The sequence below is a fragment of the Homo sapiens genome, chromosome 2, assembly GCF_000001405.40.
Source record: "Homo sapiens chromosome 2, GRCh38.p14 Primary Assembly".
Classification (NCBI taxonomy): Eukaryota; Metazoa; Chordata; class Mammalia; order Primates; family Hominidae; genus Homo; species Homo sapiens.
In genome coordinates this window covers 24,319,510-24,342,704 of record NC_000002.12, presented here as the reverse complement: position 1 = coordinate 24,342,704, position 23,195 = coordinate 24,319,510, and the positions used below count along the sequence as shown (strand labels likewise).

General features: G+C 40.7%; 1 protein-coding gene and 2 pseudogenes across 27 annotated transcripts in view, besides 1 other annotated feature; 1 reads left to right on the top strand and 2 right to left on the bottom strand.

Moving 5' to 3' along the window:
- The window catches only part of ITSN2 (intersectin 2), a 158,505-nt gene that overhangs the window by 18,664 nt on the left and 116,646 nt on the right, over nt 1-23,195 (top strand). For 20 of the 27 annotated variants that reach the window (XM_047444586.1, XM_047444582.1, NM_001348182.2 and 17 more), the window contains exon 2: nt 14,590-14,653. In XM_047444586.1, coding sequence (XP_047300542.1) covers nt 14,623-14,653 — 31 coding nt within the window. In that variant the 5' untranslated portion in view covers nt 14,590-14,622. Of the gene's footprint in view, nt 1-14,478; nt 20,268-20,824; nt 20,892-23,195 lie in introns of those variants that run through there. The other 7 variants (NM_001348181.2, XM_047444584.1, NM_001348184.2 and 4 more) reach the window with 4 other exon arrangements.
- On the bottom strand, nt 7,924-8,225 carry RPL36AP13 (ribosomal protein L36a pseudogene 13; annotated as a pseudogene).
- Nucleotides 10,349-12,410, bottom strand: HMGN2P20 (high mobility group nucleosomal binding domain 2 pseudogene 20; annotated as a pseudogene).
- Nucleotides 12,742-12,811: an enhancer, noted in NCBI's record as "active region_15431". NCBI's record gives its function as "activates an Ori minimal core promoter by ATAC-STARR-seq in GM12878 lymphoblastoid cells {active_cell/tissue: GM12878}" and the evidence as "EXISTENCE:reporter gene assay evidence [ECO:0000049][PMID:35858748]".

Here is a 23,195-nt window from a genome sequence, read left to right as displayed (position 1 = left end):
ATTCATTCATTTTAACAAATGTTTTGATGTGTAGGGCCTAAGCTGATTTGAATGCAAGCTGAAATGCACATATCTGGTTGAGTCATGGGAACTGATTTGCATGTGTCTTTCTCTTTTATGGCTTGAAGAGGAGAGAAATTTGTGCTTAGACACTTGAGGGCCTACGAGATCAAGGAGTCTGTCCTTAGCTCTGCCCTTTGGACTGTTGTCTGAGCCTAAAGAAGAGAGACAAAGAAAGCTTGCATTGGGAGGCTGAGGTGGGAGGATCACTTGAGCTTAGGAGTTTGAGACCAGCCTGGGCAACATAGGGAGACTGCACCTCTATAAGAAATTTTAAAAATTAGCCGGGCTTGGCAGCGTGCTCTTGTGGTCCCAGCCGCTTGAAAAGCTGAGGTGGGAGAATCACGTGAGCCTGGGAGGTCGAGGCTGCAGTGCACCGTGATTATGCCACTGCACTCCAGCCTTGGCAACATTGACTGTCTCAAAAAGATTATATATCTCTAAAAGAAAAAAAAATGGTAGAAGAAAATCTGTACCTTCTCAATCGCTCTTTCTTCTGCTTCTAAACTTATGTATGCCTTTGTTCATTCTTACTCCCCTTCCTGAACTTCATTCTTAGAGACAGAAATATCTGTCCCAGGTTCTAACTTCGTGTTCTAGAGCTGTCTACTACTTCTTTTTCTGGCCCTAACTTCCATTAGGTAACTTCTCTCCCATCTCCTTTTTGTAAATTAAATCTTTATTTCTTTTTTTTGTCTAAAAATAGTTTTGTTCTGTCACCTAAAAACTAAAGCCTTATAATAACTCTGCCTCCCTTTCTTAAATCTTACCTTTTTTCCTATGTATTTTTTGAGAGGAAATCTTGCTCTGTCGCCCAGGCTGGAGGGCAGTGGTGCGATCTTGGCTCCCTGCAACCTCCACCTCCCAGGTTCAAGCTATTCTCCCGCCTCACAGGCACTCACCACCATGCCCGGCGCATTTTTGTATTTTTAATAGAGACAGGGTTTCACCATGTTGACCGTGAGACCGGTCTCCTGACTTCATGTCATCTGCCTGCCTCAGCCTCCCAAAGTGCTTGGATTATAGGTGTGAGGCACCACACCCAGGCTCTTCCCCTTATTTTAAACATTTATTGCCTAATCTACTTCAATTTGGCTTCTATAGCCATCACTGTGCTAGAACTACACTCACTCCAGATTGCCAACACTAATAGCTGAGTCTTAACTTCTGTGACAATACCATTTTCTCCTTGAAACTCTTAACTCTGTATCCCGATTTCTCGTGTTTCTGAACCTCTGTTTCTGACTATTCTTGTCTCTTTTTTCTTATACATGATTTCCCTGGATAATGTCATTCACCCACATGATTACAACTACTCCCAATCCCTAATGACTACGAAATCTGGGTTTCTAGATAGAGTGTTCACTATATCTTGGACACTTCCATCTAGATGTCTTTGTAGGTGGATCAGATTAGGTGTGCTCAAAATTGAACATTTTGTTGTTCATCCCTCAAATCTAATATCTAGATTCCTACTTTCTTAGAGCTTCTATCTTGGTTAATATTACTGCTCTACAGTCACCCAAGATAGAAACCCATCTGTGATGCTCCTCTTTCATCTTCCACATTTAGCTGACCAGAAAATCCTGTCTATTCTACCTTTGAAATACCTCTTCTCCATTGCTCAAGTTCAAGTTCTCACCACCTGGACTATGCCAGTCACTTCATAATTGGTGTGTTTGTCTCAAGACTCAAAATCCAGTTTGTTCCTATACTGCTTGTCAGAGTTGTCTTCCTCTCCTCTTAAAAGACCAGTCTTCTTATATATTTTTTTATATGTACTTTCCCTGGATAATGTAATTCACTGACATTACAAGTATTCCCAATCTCTGATAACTACCAAATGTGGGTCTCTAACTAGAACATATACTATATGTGTGTGTGTGTGTGTGTTTTTTTTCCTTTTTTGAGAACACAGGATCTATAATGACACAACTTATAGACCAAATGCTGAACAAAAGAGACACAACGGGCTACATAATTCCATTCATATGAAGTACCTTAGCAGACAGAACGAATCTATGGTATTAGAAGTTGGGATCATGTTTCCCTGGTGGGACAGAGGCTGGAAGGGAGCATGAGGGGACTTTGGGGACTGCGACGATTTTGACTTTCTTCATCTTGATGCTGGGTAAACAAGTACATTCAACTTTTTTTTTTTTTTGAGATGGAGTTTCGTTCTGTCACCCAGGCTGGAGTGCAGTGACGTGATCTCAGTTCGCTGTAACCTCCACCCCCCGGGTTCAAGCGATTCTCCTGCCTCAGCCTCCCAAGTAGCTGGGACTACAAGCGTGTGCCACCATGCCTGGCTAATTTTTGTATTTTTAGTAGAGATGGGGTTATACCATCTTGGCCAGGGTGGTCTCAAACTCCTGACCTCAGGTAATCTGCCGCCTCGGCCTCCCAAAGTGTTGGGATTTCAGGCGTGAGCCACCGCGCCCTGCCAAGTACATTCAACTTTATACTGTGTTTTAAATACTGGCTCTCCATGACTTGCACAGCAATGTCCAAAATCAATAGCATGACTTACTGTTTGTCTTAAATTGTGTGATCTTGGTTACTTAATCTCTTTGGCTTCTACTTGTTTTTTTTTACATTATTTTATTTTAGAGACACTGTCTCACTTTGTTACCCAAGCTGGAGTGCAGTGACATAATCATAGCTCATTGTAACCTTGAACTCCCGGGCTCAAATGATCCTTTCACCTCCTGAGTAGCTACTTCCTGAGTAGCTAGAACTACAGGTGTGTGCCACCATGCCCAACTAAGTTTTTAATTTTTTGTAGAGAAAGAGTCTCCCTGTGTTGCCCAGGCTAGTCTTGAGCTCCTAGGCTCAAGTGATCCTCCCACTGTGGCCTCCCAAAGTGCTGGGATTGCAGGCATGAGCCGTGAACCACACCTGACCTATTTAGTTGTTTCTGAAATGAAGAGGATGGAATTCAGTGTGTTGTCATTTATCTTTAAGAAAAAATCAGGTGAAATCTTACAGAGAAGCTTCAATATATAAAACACAAAAACAGAGCTAGTCTCACTGAAGTTGGTATCCCTTCCAACCTTCCCTCTTTCCTCCCTACCCCACCTCTGTTGTACCTCCTTGAAACTTTTAGAACTCCAAGGAGCGTAATTTGAAGACTACTGGGTTTCTAAAGGTTTAACTCTTTTTTTTTTTTTTTTTGAGACGGCGTCTCACTCTGTCGCTCAGGCTGGAGTGCAGTGGCGCAATCTCAGGTCACTGCAACCTTCGCCTTCCAAGTTCAAGTGACCCTCCCACCTCAGCTTCCTGAGTAGCTGGGACTACAGGCATGCACCGCCACACCCGGCTAATTTTTGTGTTTTTTGTAGAGATGGAGTTTCCTTGTGTAGCCCAGGACTCAAATGATCTGCCTGCCTTGGCCTCCTAAAGTGCTGGGATTACAGGTGTGAGCTACCACACCTGGCCTCTTGTACCTCTTAAGATGAAGTGACTTCTTTGAAATTACATCACTCTCAAATCGCACAGTTTTTGAATACGAGTAGGAGTGGTTTTGGTGTTACACTGGCTCTTGTGCTTTCCTTCTTTTAACTAGTCCTTCTCTCAGGCTCAGAAACTTCCTTTCTTTATAACAGAGCCTATCTGCACACTATACAATGTCATTCACTCCAAGGACACTTGGAGTTCACTCAGTTTGCCACCGACCTCATGTTAGATAATTCTTACACAAATATTACCTCCTTGATTACATGTACCTTACTTTGATTTACCTCTCAAGTAGTGTTCGTTCTGTTCTCTGGGTTCTCTTGGCATTCCCCAAATCCCTTTATTATTTATTATTATTTTTGTAGAGTTGGGGTCTTGCTGTGTTGCCTGGGCTGGTCTTGAACTTCTGGCCTCATCAATCCTCCTGCCTTAGTCTCTTGAGTTGTTGGGATTACAGGTGTGAGCCACTGCACCTGGCCAAGTCCCTTTATTATAATGACCATTCATGTTTGATGAATAAATGAATGGTAGAATGAAAGAATGAATGAATGCATAGGTGGAGAATATATGTATTCTGTAAATTTCATCTTACTGCAGAAACTATAAAGTAGCAGGTAATTTTGCTCCAGCTCTTCTCATGTCGATGAAAAGAACCAAACTCTCTAAAATATATGAAGAGATTTATTCTGAGCCAAATATGAGTGACCATGGCCCATGACACAGCCTTCAGGAGGTCCTGAGAACATGTGCCCAAGGTGGTCAGGGTGCAGCTTGGTTTTATACATTTTAGGGAGACAAGAGACTTCAATCAAATACATTTAAGAAATACATTGGTTCCATCCAGAAAGGTGGGACAACTCGAAGGGGAGGGTGGGATTCCAGTTTATAGGTAGATTTAAAAATTTTCTGGTTGACAATAGCTTGAGTTTATCTAAAGACCTGGGATCAATAGAAAGGAAAAGACTGGGTTATGTTGATAAGAGGTTATAAACACTAAAGTTTTATCATGCAGATGAAGCCTCTGGGTGGCAGGCTTCTGAGAGGATAGATGTAAATGCTTCTTATCAGACTAAGTCTGTGTTGATGTTAAGGCCAGTGAGGGTTTAATGAGTATGTCTGAACCCCACTTCCCATCACGGCCTGAACCAGCCTCAGGTTAAATTTTAACAGTGCCCTGGATGAGAAGGAAGTCCATTCAGAAGGTTGGGGGGCCTTAGAATTTTATTTTTGGTTTACATTCATAGAGAACTGACCTTGATCTCCTTGGGAACTAAATGAGACAGGAACACTTTTCTCAACTGATCAGCAAGTATAGTTTGGAAGTTGGCTGTGTGTACCTAGCACATGCTGGGAGTGGCAGAGACACTAGAGAAAGTTTTATAAAATATACCTGCAGGAAGCTGGGCATAGTGGTGCACACTTGTAGTCCTAGCTATTCGAGAGGCTGAGGCAGCAGGAGGATCTCTTGAGATCAGGAGTTTGAGTCTAGCCTGGGTAATGTAGCAAGACCATGTCTCTAGAAAAAAAAAAAAAAAAAAAAGCCAGGCGTGGTGGCTCACGCCTGTAATCCCAGCACTCTGGGAGGCTGAGGTAGGCAGATCACAAGGTCAGGAGTTCAAGACCAGCCTGGCCAACATGGTGAAACCCCGTCTTTACTAAAAATACAAAAAATTAGCTGGGCATGGTGGTGCGCGCCTGTAATCCCAGCTACTTGGGAGGCTGAGGCAGGAGAATCACTTGAACCCAGGAGGCTGAGGTTGCAGTGAGCCGAGATCATGCCACTGCACTCCAGCCTGGGTGATAGAGCGAGACTCTGTCTTAAAAAAAAAAATTACATATATATATATATATATATATATATATATATATATATTTTGTGTATACACACACACACACACACACACATACATACATATAGACACACACGCCTGCAGGAACATGATGATTGATGATTGTGCTTTTGAATGTCAGACCATTCGTCAAATTTATTTAATCAAAATGATTCAAAATATTGAATCATGAAGTAATTAAAAAACCTGAGCCGCCTTCCTCACTCTCGATAAAAAACCTTCAGAAGTCAATGGGAAATAAACCTTTCTTTAAAAGTATACTCAAAAAAAAAAAAAGAAAAGCCAAGTTACAGGAGAGCCATGTTGCACAACTCTGATTTCTGCAGGGTTTAATGGAAGTAGGTTGGAGCCTGTTCTGCTTCCTGCTGGTTTCCTTTCTGTATATTCAGTTCATCGTTGCCTCTCCCTGCTTGCTTTATTCACATCTTTTTTGGTATCTCAACCATATTATTTACCCAATTCATTTGTTCAGCAAATGTTTATCGAGTGTTTTCTTTGGAAGATCTGGTTTAGAAACCAGGCATATGGAGGTAAATAAAAATGGTCTCTCCCCAGGACATGTGAAACAGGCAATCATGAAATTAAAATAGTGTGATAAATGAGGTTATTGTGGTGTAAACAAGTGTATGGACACACATAGGAGATAGTGACTAACTACCTGGGAGGATAGAAGTCTTTCAAAGACAAGATGACATTTGAATTGGGAATCAAAGAAGGAGAAGAAAGTGTGATGACCATGACAAAGGGAGCACCTCTTTATGAAGGAGTAGAGGAGAGAACAAAAGTTACTGTTTCAAAAAAGATTGGTATACTTAGGACATATGGAAATGGAAAGTACCTGGAGTATGTGATACAGTGAGATACTGAAGAGGGCCGTATTTCATACTAAGAAGTTTGGACTTTAACTTGTAATCAGTGGAAGATTTTCTAAGCAGGAAAGGGGCATTAATGAGTGCTTTAAGAAAAAACTAGTAGCTGTGTGGAAGGGTCTCAAGCCAATAACATTTATTTAGGTTCTATTCATAATGTACAGTTAGTAAATATCCCAGGTGATATGAGTGGGCAAGTTGGGAAACTTTTTTTTTTTTTTTTTTTTTGAGACAGAGTCTCGCTCTGTGGCCCAGGCTGGAGTGCAGTGGCTCCATCTCGGCTCACTGCAAGCTCCGCCTCCTGGGTTCATGCCATTCTCCTGCTTCAGCCTCCCAAGTAGCTGGGACTACAGGTGCCCGCCACCATGCCTGGCTAATTTTTTTGTATTTTTAGTAGAGACGGGGTTCCACCATGTTAGCCAGGATGGTCTCGATCTCCTGACCTCGTGATCCACCTGCCTCGGCCTCCCAAAGTGCTGGGATTACAGGCTTGAGCCACCATGCCCGGCCAAGGGAAACTTTTAAGAACAGAGCACTGGGCTGGGCGTGGTTGCTCACGCCTGTAATCCCAGCACTTTGGGAGGCGGGCAGATCACCTGAGGTCAGGAGTTTGAGACCAGCCTGGCCAACATGGCGAAACCCCGTCCCTACTAAAAATACAAAAATTAGCTGGGCATGGTGGCAGGCACCTTAATCCCAGCTACTCGGGAGGCTGAGGCATGAGAATCACTTGAACCAGGGAGGCGGAGGTTGCAGTGAGCCAAGATGGCGCACTGCACTCCAGCCTGGGGGATAGAGTGAGACTCTGTCTCAAAAACAAACAAACAGCCCTGGAAGGCTGGGTGCAGTGGCTTTCGCTTGTAATCCCAGCACTTTGGGAGGCCAAGGTGGGAGGTTCACTTGAGCCCAGGAGTTGGAGACCAGCCTGGGAAATGTAGTGAGGCCGCATCTCTACAAAAAAATTTAAAAATTAGCTGAGCATGGTGGTACACGCCTGTAGTCCTAGCTCCTCAGGAGGCTGAGGTGGGCGGATTGCTCAAGCCCAGGTGGCAGAGGTTGCAGTGAGCTGAGATCATGTCTCTGCATTCCAGCCTGCGTGGCAGGGTGATACTTTGTCTTAAAAAACCAGAGCACTGGACATGTACATCAGAGATGTAGTTTCTGGGACCTTTGCTACTAACTTGTGATCTTTTACAAGTTTCTTAGTTTTCCCACCTTGAAAATTGAGGGTTTTGGACTAAATGATAATTGTAATTATTATTTTTTTAACATAAACTCAAGATTTTATTGTCTTTATAATAAAAGAAAAGATGACACTTAGAACTGGGTCACTTGGCCCTTTCTCTTATCTCTTCCCAGTTCAAAATGCTTGCATCTTTTTTTTTTTTTTTTTTTTTTTTTTTTTTTGAGACGGAGTCTCGCTCTGTCGCCCAGGCTGGAGTGCAGTGGCGCGATCTCGGCTCACTGCAAGCTCCGCCTCCCGGGTTCACGCCATTCTCCTGCCTCAGCCTCCCGAGTAGCTGGGACTACAGGCGCCCGCTACCACGCCCGGCTAATTTTTTGTATTTTTAGTAGAGACGGGGTTTCACCTTGTTAGCCAGGATGGTCTCGATCTCCTGACCTCGTGATCCGCCCGCCTCGGCCTCCCAAAGTGCTGGGATTACAGGCGTGAGCCACCGCGCCCGGCCAATGCTTGCATCTTTTAATAGCCAACATTCTCTTAGATCTGCAGTTGGGCTCAACGCACTCAAGCCTTAGCACAATCTTCTTTGTAGTTTTAGCCTTTTTCTGGAAAATCAGCTTAGTTTGCCCACCATAACCACTCTGCTTCCTGTATAACACCACTTTCCCTGGGCATACAGAGAATTCTTGCCCTTCTTGTACTGTGTCACTTTGCAGGGTTGGTGCTTGCCACACTTCTTACAGAAAGTCCTGCGGGTTTTAGGAATGTTCACCATGTTTGCATGAGCGCTATTGGCACGGAAAGTAATTGTAATTCTTTCTGTAACTGTGCTTCTTAACAAACAAAAACTTTAACCTTGGCTGGGCCAAGGGGTTTGGGGTTTGGCCAAGATGGTGAAACCCCATCTCTACTAAAAATACAAAAATCAGGCTGGGCACAGTGGCTGATGCCTGTAATCGCAACACTTTGGGAAGCCGAGGCGGGCGGATCACGTGAGGTCAGGAGTTCAAAACCAGCCTGGCCAACATGGCGAAACCTCCTCTCTACTAATAATACAAAAATTAGCTGGGCGCGGTGCTGGGCACCTGTAATCCCAGCTACTTGGGAGGCTGAGGCAGGAAAATTGCTTGAACCTGGGAGGCGGAGGTTGCAGTGAGCTGAGATCGCACAATTGCACTCCAGCCTGGGTGACAGAGGGAGACTCCATCTCAAAAAAAAGAAAAAAAAAAATTAGCCAGGTGTGGTGGCGTGCGCTTGTAGTCCCCGCTACTTAAGAGGCTGAGGCAGGAGAATCACTTGAACCCAGGAAGTGGAGGTTGCAGTGAGCCGAGATTGTGCCACTGCACTCCAGTCTGAGTGACAGAATGAGACTCTGTCTCAAAAAACAAAACAAAAAAACCCCTAAACCTTAATTAAGCGACTTTTCACTTATAATGGCTGTGACTTTTTCTGAGTCTTACTGACCGTTTGTAAAAGCAGGATTTCCTGCTTTTGTTCTAGCATTTCTACTTTTTTCTGTCTTAGTGTGAGTATATTTTCTACATTGTCTAAAGTACGTTTGGCAATTACTCCAAATGGCAACTGAATTATATTAAATTGAAGCAGTGTTCTTTGCCTTATGCCTACTATTTACCCAATATATTTTCTTGGTTTCTACAAAGGGAACAATGCCAGTTCTGCATTAATTTTTAATGAGCAGGAAAATCATATGAACATTCTAAAAACCATACATAACTAACAGTATTCAAAATACATGATGACTGCAAATTTGCCAAAATTGCCTGTCACTACATTTCATCCCCTGTGAAGAGTAGAAAGGGGTGTTTGTTGGATGCTGACTTCAGTTGCACTTGCCTGAAACAGGCGCCAGTCATGTACCTGGGGAGATGCTGGTTACCCTTTTCTTCCTTTCAGAGAGTTATACCAAGAGATAAGAAACAATTAGCACTCCCTAATTTATGTATGTGATTGATGCTGTCCAGTGTGTTGGGAGTCATCTCTGGCTTGTTTTTCTTCTCCTGGACAAATGTGCTAACAGTAAGTTCTCCTGCTGTTTGTAGGAACCTGTGACGCATTATCTCCATTTAAGAGAGGAAGAGGCAGATAAAGCCCATGGGAAGTTCATGGGCTTAAGAATTAGACAGGCTTGGGATTGCATTCTGGCTTCATGACATACTGAATTTGGGCAAGTAATTTAACCTCTTCAGTTTCTTCTGTGAAATGAGTACAGTATCATCTGCCTTGTGGGGATATTGTGAGAGGAGTATCCATATTATCAAAGGTGCCTAGCAGTATCTGGCACCTGGTAGATAAGTCTACAAGCTTGTCAGTGTCTGAAGCTCCTTCTGCAGAACCTGAAACATTGGATTCTCAATGAATACTCAGCATGACACAGTACATCTACTGTGATCAACAGAAGTGTATTGAATTAATGGTAAACAGTAAATGTTAATTTATTAATTGCTTTTTGAAAAATGTAAAACAAAGTTTTTGGTATCTGTTGCATTTTCAAAATTTCAATTATAATTGTTAAGTACTACTCTGCAAATAGACTAGTAGAATTGTTAAGCATTAGGTAATTATTCCACAGTGGGGCAGAGAGAATAGAAATGTAATAGATATGAAATGATATGTTTTAAAAGCTTATTGGTTCCAACAAAATATACTCCCATATTTAGATGTTACCACAGTTAATCAGATGTTACATACAATATAAATGTTACATATAATATGGTACCTATGTGCATGGGTGGCTAAATTCCACATACCAGATGATAAAGATTCTGTAATACTAGTACCTTCAGCTTTACCCAAGGGATTTGCCCTTATTGCCAGTAATATTATTAATATTTAGTTCATTCTCAGGTTTTATTTCAGAATTATGCCTGTGATTACTGAGCATCTACTATTTGGCATTCTTTTTTTTTTTCCCAAGCCAAACTGTATCCAGCTTTATTAAAGATACTTTCCGTAAACAATCATGGTATTTCAGGCAGGACATGGGCAGACAATCATTGAGTATACAACAATTTTCCTTTTTTTTTGAGACGGAGTTTTGCCCTTGTTGCCCATGCTGGAGTGCAATGGCCTGATCTTGGCTCACTGCAACCTCCACCTCCTGGGTTCAAGCGATTCTCCTGCCGCAGCCACCCAAGTAGCTGGGATTACAGGCATGTGCCCCACGCCTGGCTAATTTTGTATTTTTAGTAGAGATGGGGTTTCACCATGTTGGTCAGGCTGGTCTTGAACTCCTGACTTCAGGTGATCTGCCTGCCTTGGCCTCCCAAAGTGCTGGGATTACAGGCATGAACCACTGCGCCTGGCCACAACAACTTTCAAACTCCCTTCTTGAAAGCCACTCTAAAACCCAATGAAGTCTTCATCTGATGCTGTGAACAGGGAAAGTTTAGAGTGAGGGTTGACATTTCACATTTAGCATATTGTTTAACAACTTTTCCCAGCCGACCCTGACTTTCAGGAAGTGAAATGAAAATGGCAGAATTTATCTGAAGAACCACTGCTCTTTTGACAGGTGCCGTCTCAGTGGCATCACTGGAAAGTCCAGATTGCCTGACACACTGGTAACTAATGATTGGGGGGTCAGGTCTCAACAGATGTCTGGGTTTAAGGGAGTTAAGTCTCTGCTGAAGGACGGAAAGGGAGAAGAGGACATAAAAACAAATTTGTTTTCCATACCACAAGGCTTTTGTGCCAAGGTGGCCATGTGTGTTAAAGTCAGGGAATCCCTCCTCCTGGGAGCCAAGAGGAACTCTCTCAAAACTAGAAGGGAAAGGTGTTTCCTCCACATTAGTCCAGCTTCGGAGACATTCTATTAGTGACATATGGCCCTTCCCCCAAAAACAACAATGAAGTGTTCTGTGTGCTAACAACATAGCTTAAAAAAAAAAAAAGTAGGCTGGGCACAGTGGCTCATGCCTGTAATCCCAGCACTTTGGGAGGCTGAGGCAGGTGGATCACCTGAGGTCAGGAGTTCAAGACCAGCCTGGCTAACATAGTGAAACCCCATTTCTACTAAAAATACAAAAAATTAGCCGGGCGTGATGATGCGCAACTGTAATCCCAGCTACTTGGGAAGCTGAGGCAGGAGAATTGCTTGAACCTGGGAGGCGGAGGTTGCAGTCAGCCAAGATCGCGCCATTGCATTCCAGCTTGAGCAACAAGAGCGAAACTCTGCCTTAAAAAAAAAAAAAAAAAAAAGTGGCCGGGTGCAGTGGCTCATGCCTATAATCTCAGCACTTTGGGAGGCTGAGGCAGGTGGATCACCTGAGGTCAGGAGTTCGAGACAAGCCTGACCAACATGGTGAAACGCCATCTCTGCTAAAAATACAAAAATTAGCCAGGTGTGGTGGCGCCTGCCTGTAATCCCAGCTACTCAGGAGGCTGAGGCAGGAGAATCGCGTGAACCCACGAGGTGGAGGTTGCAGTGAGCCAAGATCACGCCACTGCACTCCAGCCTGGGCGATAGAGCGAGAATTCATCTAAAAAAAAAAAAAAGTAAAATGAAATTCTGCATTTTTTATAAAACTTGATAAAAAATAGTATTTCAAACTACTGTCACCAGAAGTACACAGTTATAAAAAATACACACACTTCACTTGGCATCTCCAGCACTTTCAGCTTTCTGTGCCCCGTCTGTTTTAGCATCTCCATTTTCTGCAAGGTTATTCCCCTCCTTGCCAGCATAAGCTTTTCCCTTTTTCCCTTTGGGTACCTTCTCTCCCTTCTTTGCAGGGGCCTTTTCAGGCTTGGGCTCTGGCGTTGGAGGAGCAGGTTTAGCAGACAACCTCATGGGTCTTCTCTGTGGTTCGTTCTTCACCTTGGCTTTATCTCCTTTAGCATCCCCTTCACCCTTTCTCTTGGGCATGGTGGTGGCAACGGTGGCAGGAGGTAAGCACTTGGCACAGGATGCAGTGGCATGCAGGCTTTGGTCAGTCCGGGGTTCGTTCTCGCGTCTTCTTCTTCACGTTGCTCTCTATTTGGCATTCTTTTGTATTCACAGAATACGTGATGACGAACAAATGGTTCTAGACAGATGATTTGTAAGTTTTAGACCTAGATCCCAACTGATTAAGGCCTTGTGTCCATGGGATCCCATTCCTCGTTGGTTTTTCTGTTGTTAGAGCCATCTTTATAATTCACATGCTATTATGCAGAGTTAGAAAATGCATTATTTGCAATAGTGGGTTTTCTCCCATGTTTTAAAATGGTCTCAGCCACAGAAAACTAATGAATAAGGGCCCTTGCTACTGCATATCTGTTAAGTAGATAGTTTGTTTTTAGCCATGTAGCTTATTTTGGGTTAACATTACTTATGATTTAAAATTGAAGAAGTAAAAATGTTATATTTGTTTGCAGTATTTCTGTATTTGAGGAAGTTGCAGTCATAACTTGATTGATGGGACTTCCTTCTGTGTTCATTTTTTAAGCTAGCTATAAAATGGTGAGAAACGTTGACCACGATGTATGTACTACTTAATGCCTTCTTTGTTTAAAATGGCTGTGCAAATATTTTTCTTAGGCTTCTAAAAATATTAATATTTAAATGATTTGGGTAAATAGATGAGATACGGCATGATCTTTTAATATAGTAGTGTTTTCCTGCAATATTATGATCCATGGTTTTAATTACTAAGTGCATTGCTATAAATTTGCTAGGCCTTCACTTCCTAACTGGTCCTACTCTCAAAATTCATGGAACGGGCAGGACACAGTGGCCTGTAATCCCAGCACTTTGGGTGGCTGAGGGAAGCAAATCACTTGAGCTCAGGAGTTCAAGACTAGCCTGGCCAACATGGTAAAACCTCGTCTCTACTAAAACAAACAAACAAACAAACAAAAATTAGCCGGGCATGGTGATGTGCGCCTGTAGACCCAGCTACTCAGGAGGCTGAGGCTGGAGAATCGCTTGAACCCGGGAGGTGAGGTTGCAGTGAGCCAAGACTGCGCCACTGCACTCCAGCCTGGGCGACAGAGCGAGACTCCGTCTCAAGAAAACAAAACAAACAAAAAAAAAAACAGACCCACAAAAAGATTCATGGAACAATTTTTGAATTTATTGACAGCTGAATAATGAATTCAGGGTTCAAAATGATACTGCACTCTCCTTTTCTGGTTGTTTGCAAAATAGCAGCCATTTGTTGAACACCCTATGTGGCAGGCAGTTTACTGGATTATGTTTAACACTTTAAAAAATACTTCTGCAAAGTATTTTTTATAGATGAGTAATCTGAGTCTCAAAAAAGGTTAAATAACTTTTCCATGGTCACAGCTGGGAGAATAGCAGAGCTGGGTTTGAACCCAGAGCTGTGAATTTCCAAAGTCCCTTCTCTTAGAGTGCTTGCCCAGCACATTTAGTTATGTTATATATGTATTTTAATAATTTTGTGTGTTTTAATAATTACTTTTAGACTATTTTATAAACCCCTTGAGCTCATTTAAACAGCTGCGCTACATTTATTTTGAATATTTTTCTTGTTTGGGAGTTTTTAAAAAATGATACTATGGGCTGGGTGCAGTGGCTAACGCCTGTAATCTCAGCACTTTGGGAGGCTGACGTGGGCAGGTCACTTGAGGCCAGGAATTTGAGACCATTCTGGTCAACATGGCAAAACCCTGTCCCTACTAAAAACACAAAAATTAGCCAGGTGTGGTGGAGCATTCCTGTAGTCCCAGCTACTCAGGTGGCCAAGGTATGAGAATTGCTTGAACCCAGGAGGCAGAGGTTGCAGTGAGCTGAGATTGCACCACTGCACTCCAGCCTGGGTGACAGAGTGAGACTCTATTTAAAAAAAAAAAAAAGTATGGATTTCCATGTTATTCTTATATACTTAATTTATACAGTTGATTTATTTTTTTCTCTTCCAAATTAATTTCTACAAGAATGTTGGTTCATGCCAAGGGTTTCTTTATTCAGTATCTACTATTAAATATGTGACTGTTTTTCTGTATTAAGGCAGCACGATTACCCAACAAAATCTCTTACCCTTCCTCAAATGTAAATTCTGCCTGTTCAGCAGCAGCAGAAGCTCTGCATTGTTTTCTGTTGGAAGTGTGAGCTGAAGGGGACAGACATTCCTACTGCTTAGCGGGTGCACTAAACTGTGATTTGCCCTTGTTGTATTATCAACGGCACAATATTTTTATGTTGCAGATGGCTGAGAGCTAGCAAGGAAAACTCAGGACCATGATGGCTCAGTTTCCCACAGCTATGAATGGTAAGCAGCTTTGTGCTTGTGGCAAGATGAGGTTATGGATTTTTTTTTTTTTTGGTAGAGGTTTAAAATATTCATGTAGATAATTTTCCTTAAGTGTATAAATACAAAACTTGAAGTATTCTTGGAAAATATTTTGGAACACTGCATATGTCTTCTGTAAGAATATTATGTTGTAAATCCCATGACTATATTCTGGAACGTGTGTTTGCCATTGAGCAGTTAGGAATAACCAAAAGGTATATTGTGTTTGATGCATAAAACTGGATGACAAATAGCAGAGTGCTATAAGGTGACTATTAAAGGTATTTTGATAACATAACATGATTGTAAACCGATGAAGCCAATAAAGATTAATTTAGTAATATTTATGTAAGATTATGTTTTCCCTTTAGATAAGATTATGTATGCCTGCATACATAATTGTTTAATATCAAACATTTTAAAAGAAAGTGCTGGCCGGGTGTGGTGGCTCATGCCTGTAATTACAGCACTTTGTGAGGCTGAGGAGGGAGATCACTTGAGGTCAGGAGTTCGAGACCAGCCTGGTCAACATGGTGAAACCCAATCTCTACTAAAAATACAAAAACTAGCCGAGTGTGGTCATGGGCACCTGTAATCCCAGCTGCTTGGGAGGTTGAGGCAGGAGAATCACTTGAACTACCCGGGAGGTGGTGGTTGCAGTGTACCGAGATAGGGCCACTACACTCCAGCCTGGGAAAGAGTGAGACTCCATTTAAAAAAAAAAGAAAAAGAAAAAGAAAAAGAAAATGCTTAGGTAATTTGAATAATGAAAAGTTTTTAAAGTTTTGTTCTGATTGTAGCTTTAATTCTTTTCCCAAATACTAATTAACTACCCTTAGTAGGTATTAAGTTACTGTGTTTGTCATTTATAATTAATTGAAAAACATGCATTATATTTTTAAATCGCTAAAGAAATCTAGATTCTGAATTCTTAATTTTATGTTAAATTGTATTAGCTAATTGTAGATAAATATCAGGAAATAGAGAATAAACTCAATAATTCTTTATTATTTAAATTGAAAACAGTAATATTAAAGAGCATTTAAAAAAAGGAGGGAAGAATCACCATTCTACCATCTTCACAAAGCAATTCTGTTTTGATATTACCGTCTAGTGTTAATCAGTTGTTTTTTAAACTTGTTTTCAGACATAGGACCAAATCATTACATTGTTAATAACGAAAATACATGTTGTATATCTAAAGTTTTATGTCTCAGGATTTAGGAAAATCTTGGAGAAGTGAATTATTTGTATAAAAAGTAAAATCAAATTCTGTGTGGTGAGGTCATGTGTCATTTAAGGATAGACTTGAAGTAAAGATTTTGTTGTTTCGTGTTTTACCTTTTCAGAACCTATTATTTAAGGATTAATGTGAGTATTGCTCCTATTGGGAAAATGGTGTGGGATTATAAACATTGATGCCACAGACAATTTTTAATAATTAAATAATTTTTCCATAATGAGTGATACATGTAAGTTTAAAATTAGGGCAGTGATTGTAGTAGTAACATGCTCTACTCAAGTTTGAGGATTTTTATGCCCCATACAAAGGAATTTGCATTAAACAGTTGAATTGTAAACTTCAGCCAACATGTTAATCAGTTTTATAAGCAAAATGAACATAAAGCAGTACAGTCCCGGTCCTTCTTTATTCTGCTTCTTCCATTCCATAAACATTTATATATCTACTTTGCAGTTCATTGCATTATATATAAAATATAACATTGAGAACAAATGGACTATTCAATAACAAAAGAATGATTATGTGAATAATCATCTAAAATGTTGGAAAATGCATTTAGAAGTGCTATATAGGCATACAGATAGTAATTTTTTTTAAACTTCTGAAGAATTAATTGCATATGTAGACTGTGGTACCTTCCTACTTAGAAGATTGACGATAACTTAGACATATCTAATTTAAGTTCAATTCAGGGTTTAAGATGTTACTGAGAGCAGCATTCATGTATAGTACAAAACTTTGCTCCTCTAGTAATCCTGACATAGATTGTTAAATTGTTTTGATGCCCATTGCTATTGGGACTTGTCTGTAAGTATGCCTGTGTGTGAATGTGTATGTGTGTGTGTATGTGTGTGTGTGTATGTATATACGTGTGTGTGTAAAAACCGAGATGAGACTACTTACTGAATGAGATCTAGCCTATAGTAGATGTTCTGTAAATGTGAAAATTTTTTTCTTCACTGACTATAAGAACTTGTTTGAAAGAGCCAGCAAGTGAGATGAGAATAAGCAACAGAAATGTTTATGAAAATCCCATATTTTCAATATCAGTGATGAGTTAGGGGAAGCGGATAGAATTTTAATGTATTTCTAACACGATTATTACATATTGTAAAAGTTTGTTAGCTTTTTAGGGAAATATTAGACATCAACCCCTAAACTTAGATTTTTCTGCCTCTTCGATAAGGCTTACAGATAAATATAGACTAAGATTGGGAGATTTTTACTTGAAGTTCAAAGTAACAAACTTTTGCCTTTTCAAAGGGTTCTGTTAGTTGATATATTTAAATAAGAAAGCCAGGACTGAATTAACTATTTTAAAATTGGCTTTGAATTACACGTATTGCCCAGTTTTCTTATTGCAGTGTTTTGTTTTTTGAGACAGGGTCTCCACTCTGTTGCCCAGGTTGGAGTGTAGTGGTATGAACACAGCTCACTGCAGCCTCGACTTGCTAGATTCAAGCAATCCTCCTGCCTCTGCTTCCTGAGTAGCTGGGACCACAGGTGTGAGCCACCACACCCAGCTAATTTTTAGATTTTTTGTAGACATGGGGGTCTCACTATCTTGTCCAAGCTGGTCTTGAACTCTTGGGCTCAAGAAGTCCTCCACCTTAGCCTCCCAAAGTGCTTGGATTACAGGCATGAGCCATCACACCTGACCAGTGTTATCTTTTTGTTCCTAGAAAATTCTTGGTGCATTAATACTTTATGTTTTAATATGATTAATTTTTTAAAAGGTTATTTGAACACTACTTAAAAATTATTCCTTGTTAAAATGCCTTAGAACATTTTTATTCTCTTGGTTACATTAATCATGATAATATGTAACCGTGATTGTTGTGTGTGATTTTCTTGGCTGGTAGAGTCTCTTTAAAATATTAGAGTCTGTGAGTTCTTTTAAGGTGTTCATTTTTTTTTTTTTTTTTTTTTTTTTTGAGACAGGGTCTTACTCTGTCAACCCAGCCTGGAGTACAGTGGCATGAACATTGCTCACTGCAATCTCAACCTCCAGGCTCAAGCAATTCCTTCTGCCTCAGCCTCCAGAGTAACTGGGACTACAGACATGTGCCACCAAGACCAGCTACTTAAAAGAATTTTTTTTTTAGAGATAGGGGTCTCACTATGTTGACCAGGCTGGTCTCAACTCCTGGGCTCAAGTGATCCTCCTGCCCTAGCCTTCTGAAGTGCTGGGCTGTGCCCAGGCAAGTGGTTCATTTTATTCATCTTTGTACCCCATAAACATTTACTGAATGAATGAATATGAAGGTGTCAAGATTACTGATTGGAGACATGAGGAACTAAGCAGTAAACAAACAGATGGGTTGAGTTTAGCCCCTGTGAAAACACATAGCCAAGGAAATGTCAGGAGATAGTAATATATATAAGAAAGCATCATACTGTGATGAGCATTGGTGCATCAATCTTGATGCAGCAGAACTCTCTTTTGTCTTAGGATAGCAGTAGAGTCCATCACTGCCCGGGGGTATATATACCCATGTATGTTAGAGCAGCTTTTTAAAAAAAATTTAATTTAATTTAATTTAATTTAATTTTTTTGAGACGGAGTCTCGCTCTGTCTCCCAGGCTGGAGTGCAGTGGCATGATCTCTGCTCACTGCAAGCTCCGCCTACTGGGTTCACGCCGTTCTCCTGCCTCAGCCTCCCGAGTAGCTGGGACTACAGGCGCTCACCACCACGCCTAGCTAAGTTTTTGTATTTTTAGTAGAGATGGGGTTTCACCACGTTAGCCAGGATGGTCTCCATCTCCTGACCTCGTGATCCACCCGCCTTGGCCTCCCAAAGTGCTGGGATTACAGGTGTGAGCCACCATGCCTGGCCGAGCAGCTTTTAAGCCTTCTTAACCAAACTCTTCAGACTTAAAATAGTCTTAAGGTTTCTAACTAAAGAGCCTTAGTTTCAGGCTATTCCCTGAGAAAGATTTGAATGCTCTGACTTCTTTTTAATTATATTGTTCCCTGGGATTGGGTTGAATAAGGAAACTAATTTATTGAGGACTCCTAATATGGCAGGCATGTATTAGATGCTTTATATTTTTGTTTTAGTTTATTTTAAAGTTGGGTTTATTGGGGGTATAATTCACCCTTTTAAAGTATACGGTTCGATGAGTTTCTAAAACTATATATAGTCATATAAATTAGGATATAAAACATTTGCATCACCTAAAAAGTTCTCTGTACCCTTATACCTCCACCTTTAGCCATGTATTATTGGCAACCACTAATCAGATTTCTGTCCTTACAGTTCTGCCTTTTCCAGAATGTCATATAAATGGAATACACAATATGTAGCCTTTGGTGTCTGGCTTCTGTGACTTAGCAAAATATCTTTGTGATTCAGTCATAATGTTGCATGCATTTCTCCTGTTTACTGCTGAATAGTAGTCCATTGTATAAATGTGTACCACAATTTATTTATCCATTCAGCCGTTCAGGTGCAGAACATTTGGGTTATTTCCAGGTTTTAGTGATTATGACTAAATCTGCTATAACCATCAGAGAACAGGTTTTTATGTGGAAATAGGTCTTCGTTTCTCTTGGGTATTTACCCAAGAGTCTTTTGTTAATACTCAGTCTATTGTTGGGTCATGTGGAAATATATATTTAACTTCATAAGAAATTCCCAAACTGTTTTCCAAAGTGACTGTCACATTTGCTTTCCCACCAGCATATATGAGTTGCGGTTGTTTGGCATCTTTATCAGCACTCCGTGTTGTTTTTTTTTTTAATTTTCAGACATGCTAATAGACATGCAGTGATACCTTTTTGTGATTTTAATTTACATTTCCCTGATGATAGTGATATTGAGCATCTTGTCACGTGCTTATTTGCCATCTGTATATCTTTGATGTGTCTGTTCAAATCTTTTGTTCCTTTTTTTTGAGGGGGGGGATTATTTTCTAATTTTTGAGTTGAATAGTTCTGTATATATGCTGACCTATATTTATTGAATATGTTTTGCAAATGTTTTCTCTCAGCCTGTAGTTTGTCTTTTCCTTTTCTTAAGAGTGTCCTTTAAGAGAGTGGAAATTTTAGATTTTTATAAAGTCCAGTTTGTCAAAATATTTTAATGATTTTTGCCTTTTGTGTTCCAAAAAGTCATTGCATAATCCAAAATCACAAACATTTTCTTCCATATTTTCTTCAGGAAGTTTTATCTTATATCTAGTTCTGTGATTCATTGAGAGTTAATTCATGTATATGCTGGAAGGTTGAGGTTCTTTTGTTGTTTTTTCATATGGATATCCAGTTCTTTCAGCACCATTTGATGAAAGGACTGTTTTCCACCTTGAATTATCTCCACATGTTGTTGGAAATCAATGGACAATATATTTGTGAGTGTATTTATGTTTAATTACCAACAAGACAGATAGTTTAAGACTCTTAATTAAGCCTGAGTAGACGCTAGTCTTGCCTTCAACACTTACCAATTTTATTACCTTGGGCAAATTATTTAATATCTCTGTACCACTGTTTCCTTCTCTGATAAACAGTGATAGCAATAGTTACCTCATGGGATTCTTATGAGACTTACTTGAAGCAATACATGTAAAGCTCTTAGAAAAGTACCTGACACAGGGTGAGTTTCATTAAGTGTTAGCTATAATGGAGGTATATTACATGTAATCTTTACAACAGGCCTGTGGAGTTATATAATATTCCTAGTTTATAGAGGTGGCATCTGAATTAGAAGGAACATGAGCATCTTACCCATATATGTTGGTACATAGTTAGTGCTGAGTTCAATATGGAGGCTTTGGAGTCAGGCTACCCAGGTTCTAATCTCAGCTCTGTCACTTACTGTATGACCTTGAGCAAGTTACTTTATTACCATGGGTTTTCAGTTTCCTTACCTATAAAATGAGAATAATAATAGTACTTTAATTTATAGGTTAATGCTGGGGGCTCAGTGAGTTGCTGCATATAAAGTCCCTGACAATAGTCAGGGTTCAATAAAGGTGAGCTGCTTCCATCTTTGTCATCCTTTGTTGTTGTCATTTTTGTTGTTTTTAAAATCAGCATCATAATTTTTCTGAAGTCATATAATAGAAAATCAGTTCTGTGGCTATACTACTTGCCTTCCTAGTGACAGGAATCCTGACAGGTTTATTTATTTATTTTCTGATAAACTGATAACCCAAGTAGGATTTTTACTACATATGTGGTATTTCTTTATTTAGAAAGTGTGTAGGTTTAGCTATTTTAGGTCCTTAGTTCTTCAGTACATCTGTTTCTTTATTTTTAACTATAATCTTAAAACTTCTCTTTAAGAGAGGATATTTATAGATTTTTTAATCCAGTCATTTAGGACTAAGAATAATTTGTTAAATCCATATTAGTGTTAAAAATTACAGTGAGCACCTACTTTTCAATGATATACGTTCCTGGAAAATTGTCTTTGTAAGGCAGATTTTTATACAATACAAGCAGGAATTATGTATGAGTTTATATACCTAAACGTATTTGATTCCTTATTGGCAGAAATGGAATAAATTGTAAAGGTAGTCAGAAGTATAGATGGTGATTAGTCATGTTGAATGTGCAGAGCTTTACAAAAACCTCAGAGAGCTGGCGGACAACAAAAAGCTAATCCCAAGCTCGGGAAGAAACCCCTGTATTTGCAATGCAGACATCCTCAGAGATAGTCTGGAACAAAAGCTATCAATCCTTTGCTTTAGAAGATGTACAGAAACATGAGAAACTCATGGAGAATTGTCTCCCAAGGGTTCCTCTCCCTTGTTTCTCCATTGTCTTGACTTCTAGCAAATTTTCTCATGAGTGTACATACCACTAAGTTGGCCACTCCGATTAATCTGACAAAACGGGCTGGGACTAAGTCTGATTTATTTTATGCAGCATTTGATTAAGACTAATCAACAGGACTCCAAGCAGCAGGTTGGTCTCAGCTTGCAGTGTTCTCAGCTGTGCTCTGCAGGGTCCCAGCTAAACAAATCCTATAAATCATCAGTGTCTCCCTTAGAAAGCCAGGTGGCTTTCTCCTTAAAAAACAATGTTTTTTTGTTTTTTTTTTTTTTGGTGGTTGTTGTTGTTGTTTGTTTTTTGTTGAGACAGGGTCTTGTTCTGTAACCCAGACAGTGGTGTGATCAGTGCTCCCTGCAGCCTTGATCTCCTGGGCTCAAGCAATCCTTCTACCTCAGCCTCCCAAGTAGCTGGGATTACAGGTGTGAGCCACCACCACTGGCTAATTTTTTTTTTTTTTTTTTTTTTTTTTTTTTTTTTTTTTTTGAGACGGAGTCTCGCTCTGTCGCCCAGGCCGGACTGCGGACTGCAGTGGCGCAATCTCGGCTCACTGCAAGCTCCGCTTCCTGGGTTCACGCCATTCTCCTGCCTCAGCCTCCCGAGTAGCTGGGACTACAGGCGCCCGCCACCGCGCCCGGCTAATTTTTTGTATTTTTAGTAGAGACGGGGTTTCACCTTGTTAGCCAGGATGGTCTCGATCTCCTGACCTCATGATCCACCCTCCTCGGCCTCCCAAAGTGCTGGGATTACAGGCGTGAGCCACCGCGCCCAGCCTGGCTAATTTTTTTAAGTTTTTTTGTAGAGATGGGGTCTCACTATGTTGCCCAGGCTGGTCTCAAACTCCTGAGCTCAAGGGATCCTCCTGCCTCAGCCTCCCAAAATACTGGGATTAGGTGTGCACCACCATGTCCGGCCTCTCCTTAAGTTTTATTTTAACTTTTCTACCTGGCCTGAATCAGTAATCTGGGTACAGCAGAGTGTATTCATAATTGCACACACTTTATCTTAGCCTGCAAAAAAAGAAAATCTAGGATAAATCTCTGACAACCCTAGCCAGTGAGTTGAGGCTGACCTGAATGCCTTCCAGGACTGAGGAAGTGTTTTTTTAAACACTTGAAGATCTCTTCATGTACATTACTGTGTTTTTGGAGGGAGGCAAGTTAATGCATGGTTTCCACAGAAGAAGTAGAAGATCAAGGGTGTGCATGGGTTATGCTTGGAAAGAAAATGTTTACAGTTATTCCCCCTGCAACCCCTACTGCCGTGGGACCTACATCAGAAGAGGGGCACAGGTTGATAGTGCCTCTAACATAGCCTCCTGGATGACTGGCAAGTCTGAGGGTTTCCAGTGGAGTTTGAGTAATTGAGTCTAGTCCTTGTTTTTGGAGGGATTGCCCAAATTAGTCCCACTTGTTTTGTTTGTCCTCGCCACCAGCTGGGTGGAATTCATCCATTACTGAGATTGGGGGTGGGGGAAGACCTCTGGAAGTGATATGGACAGG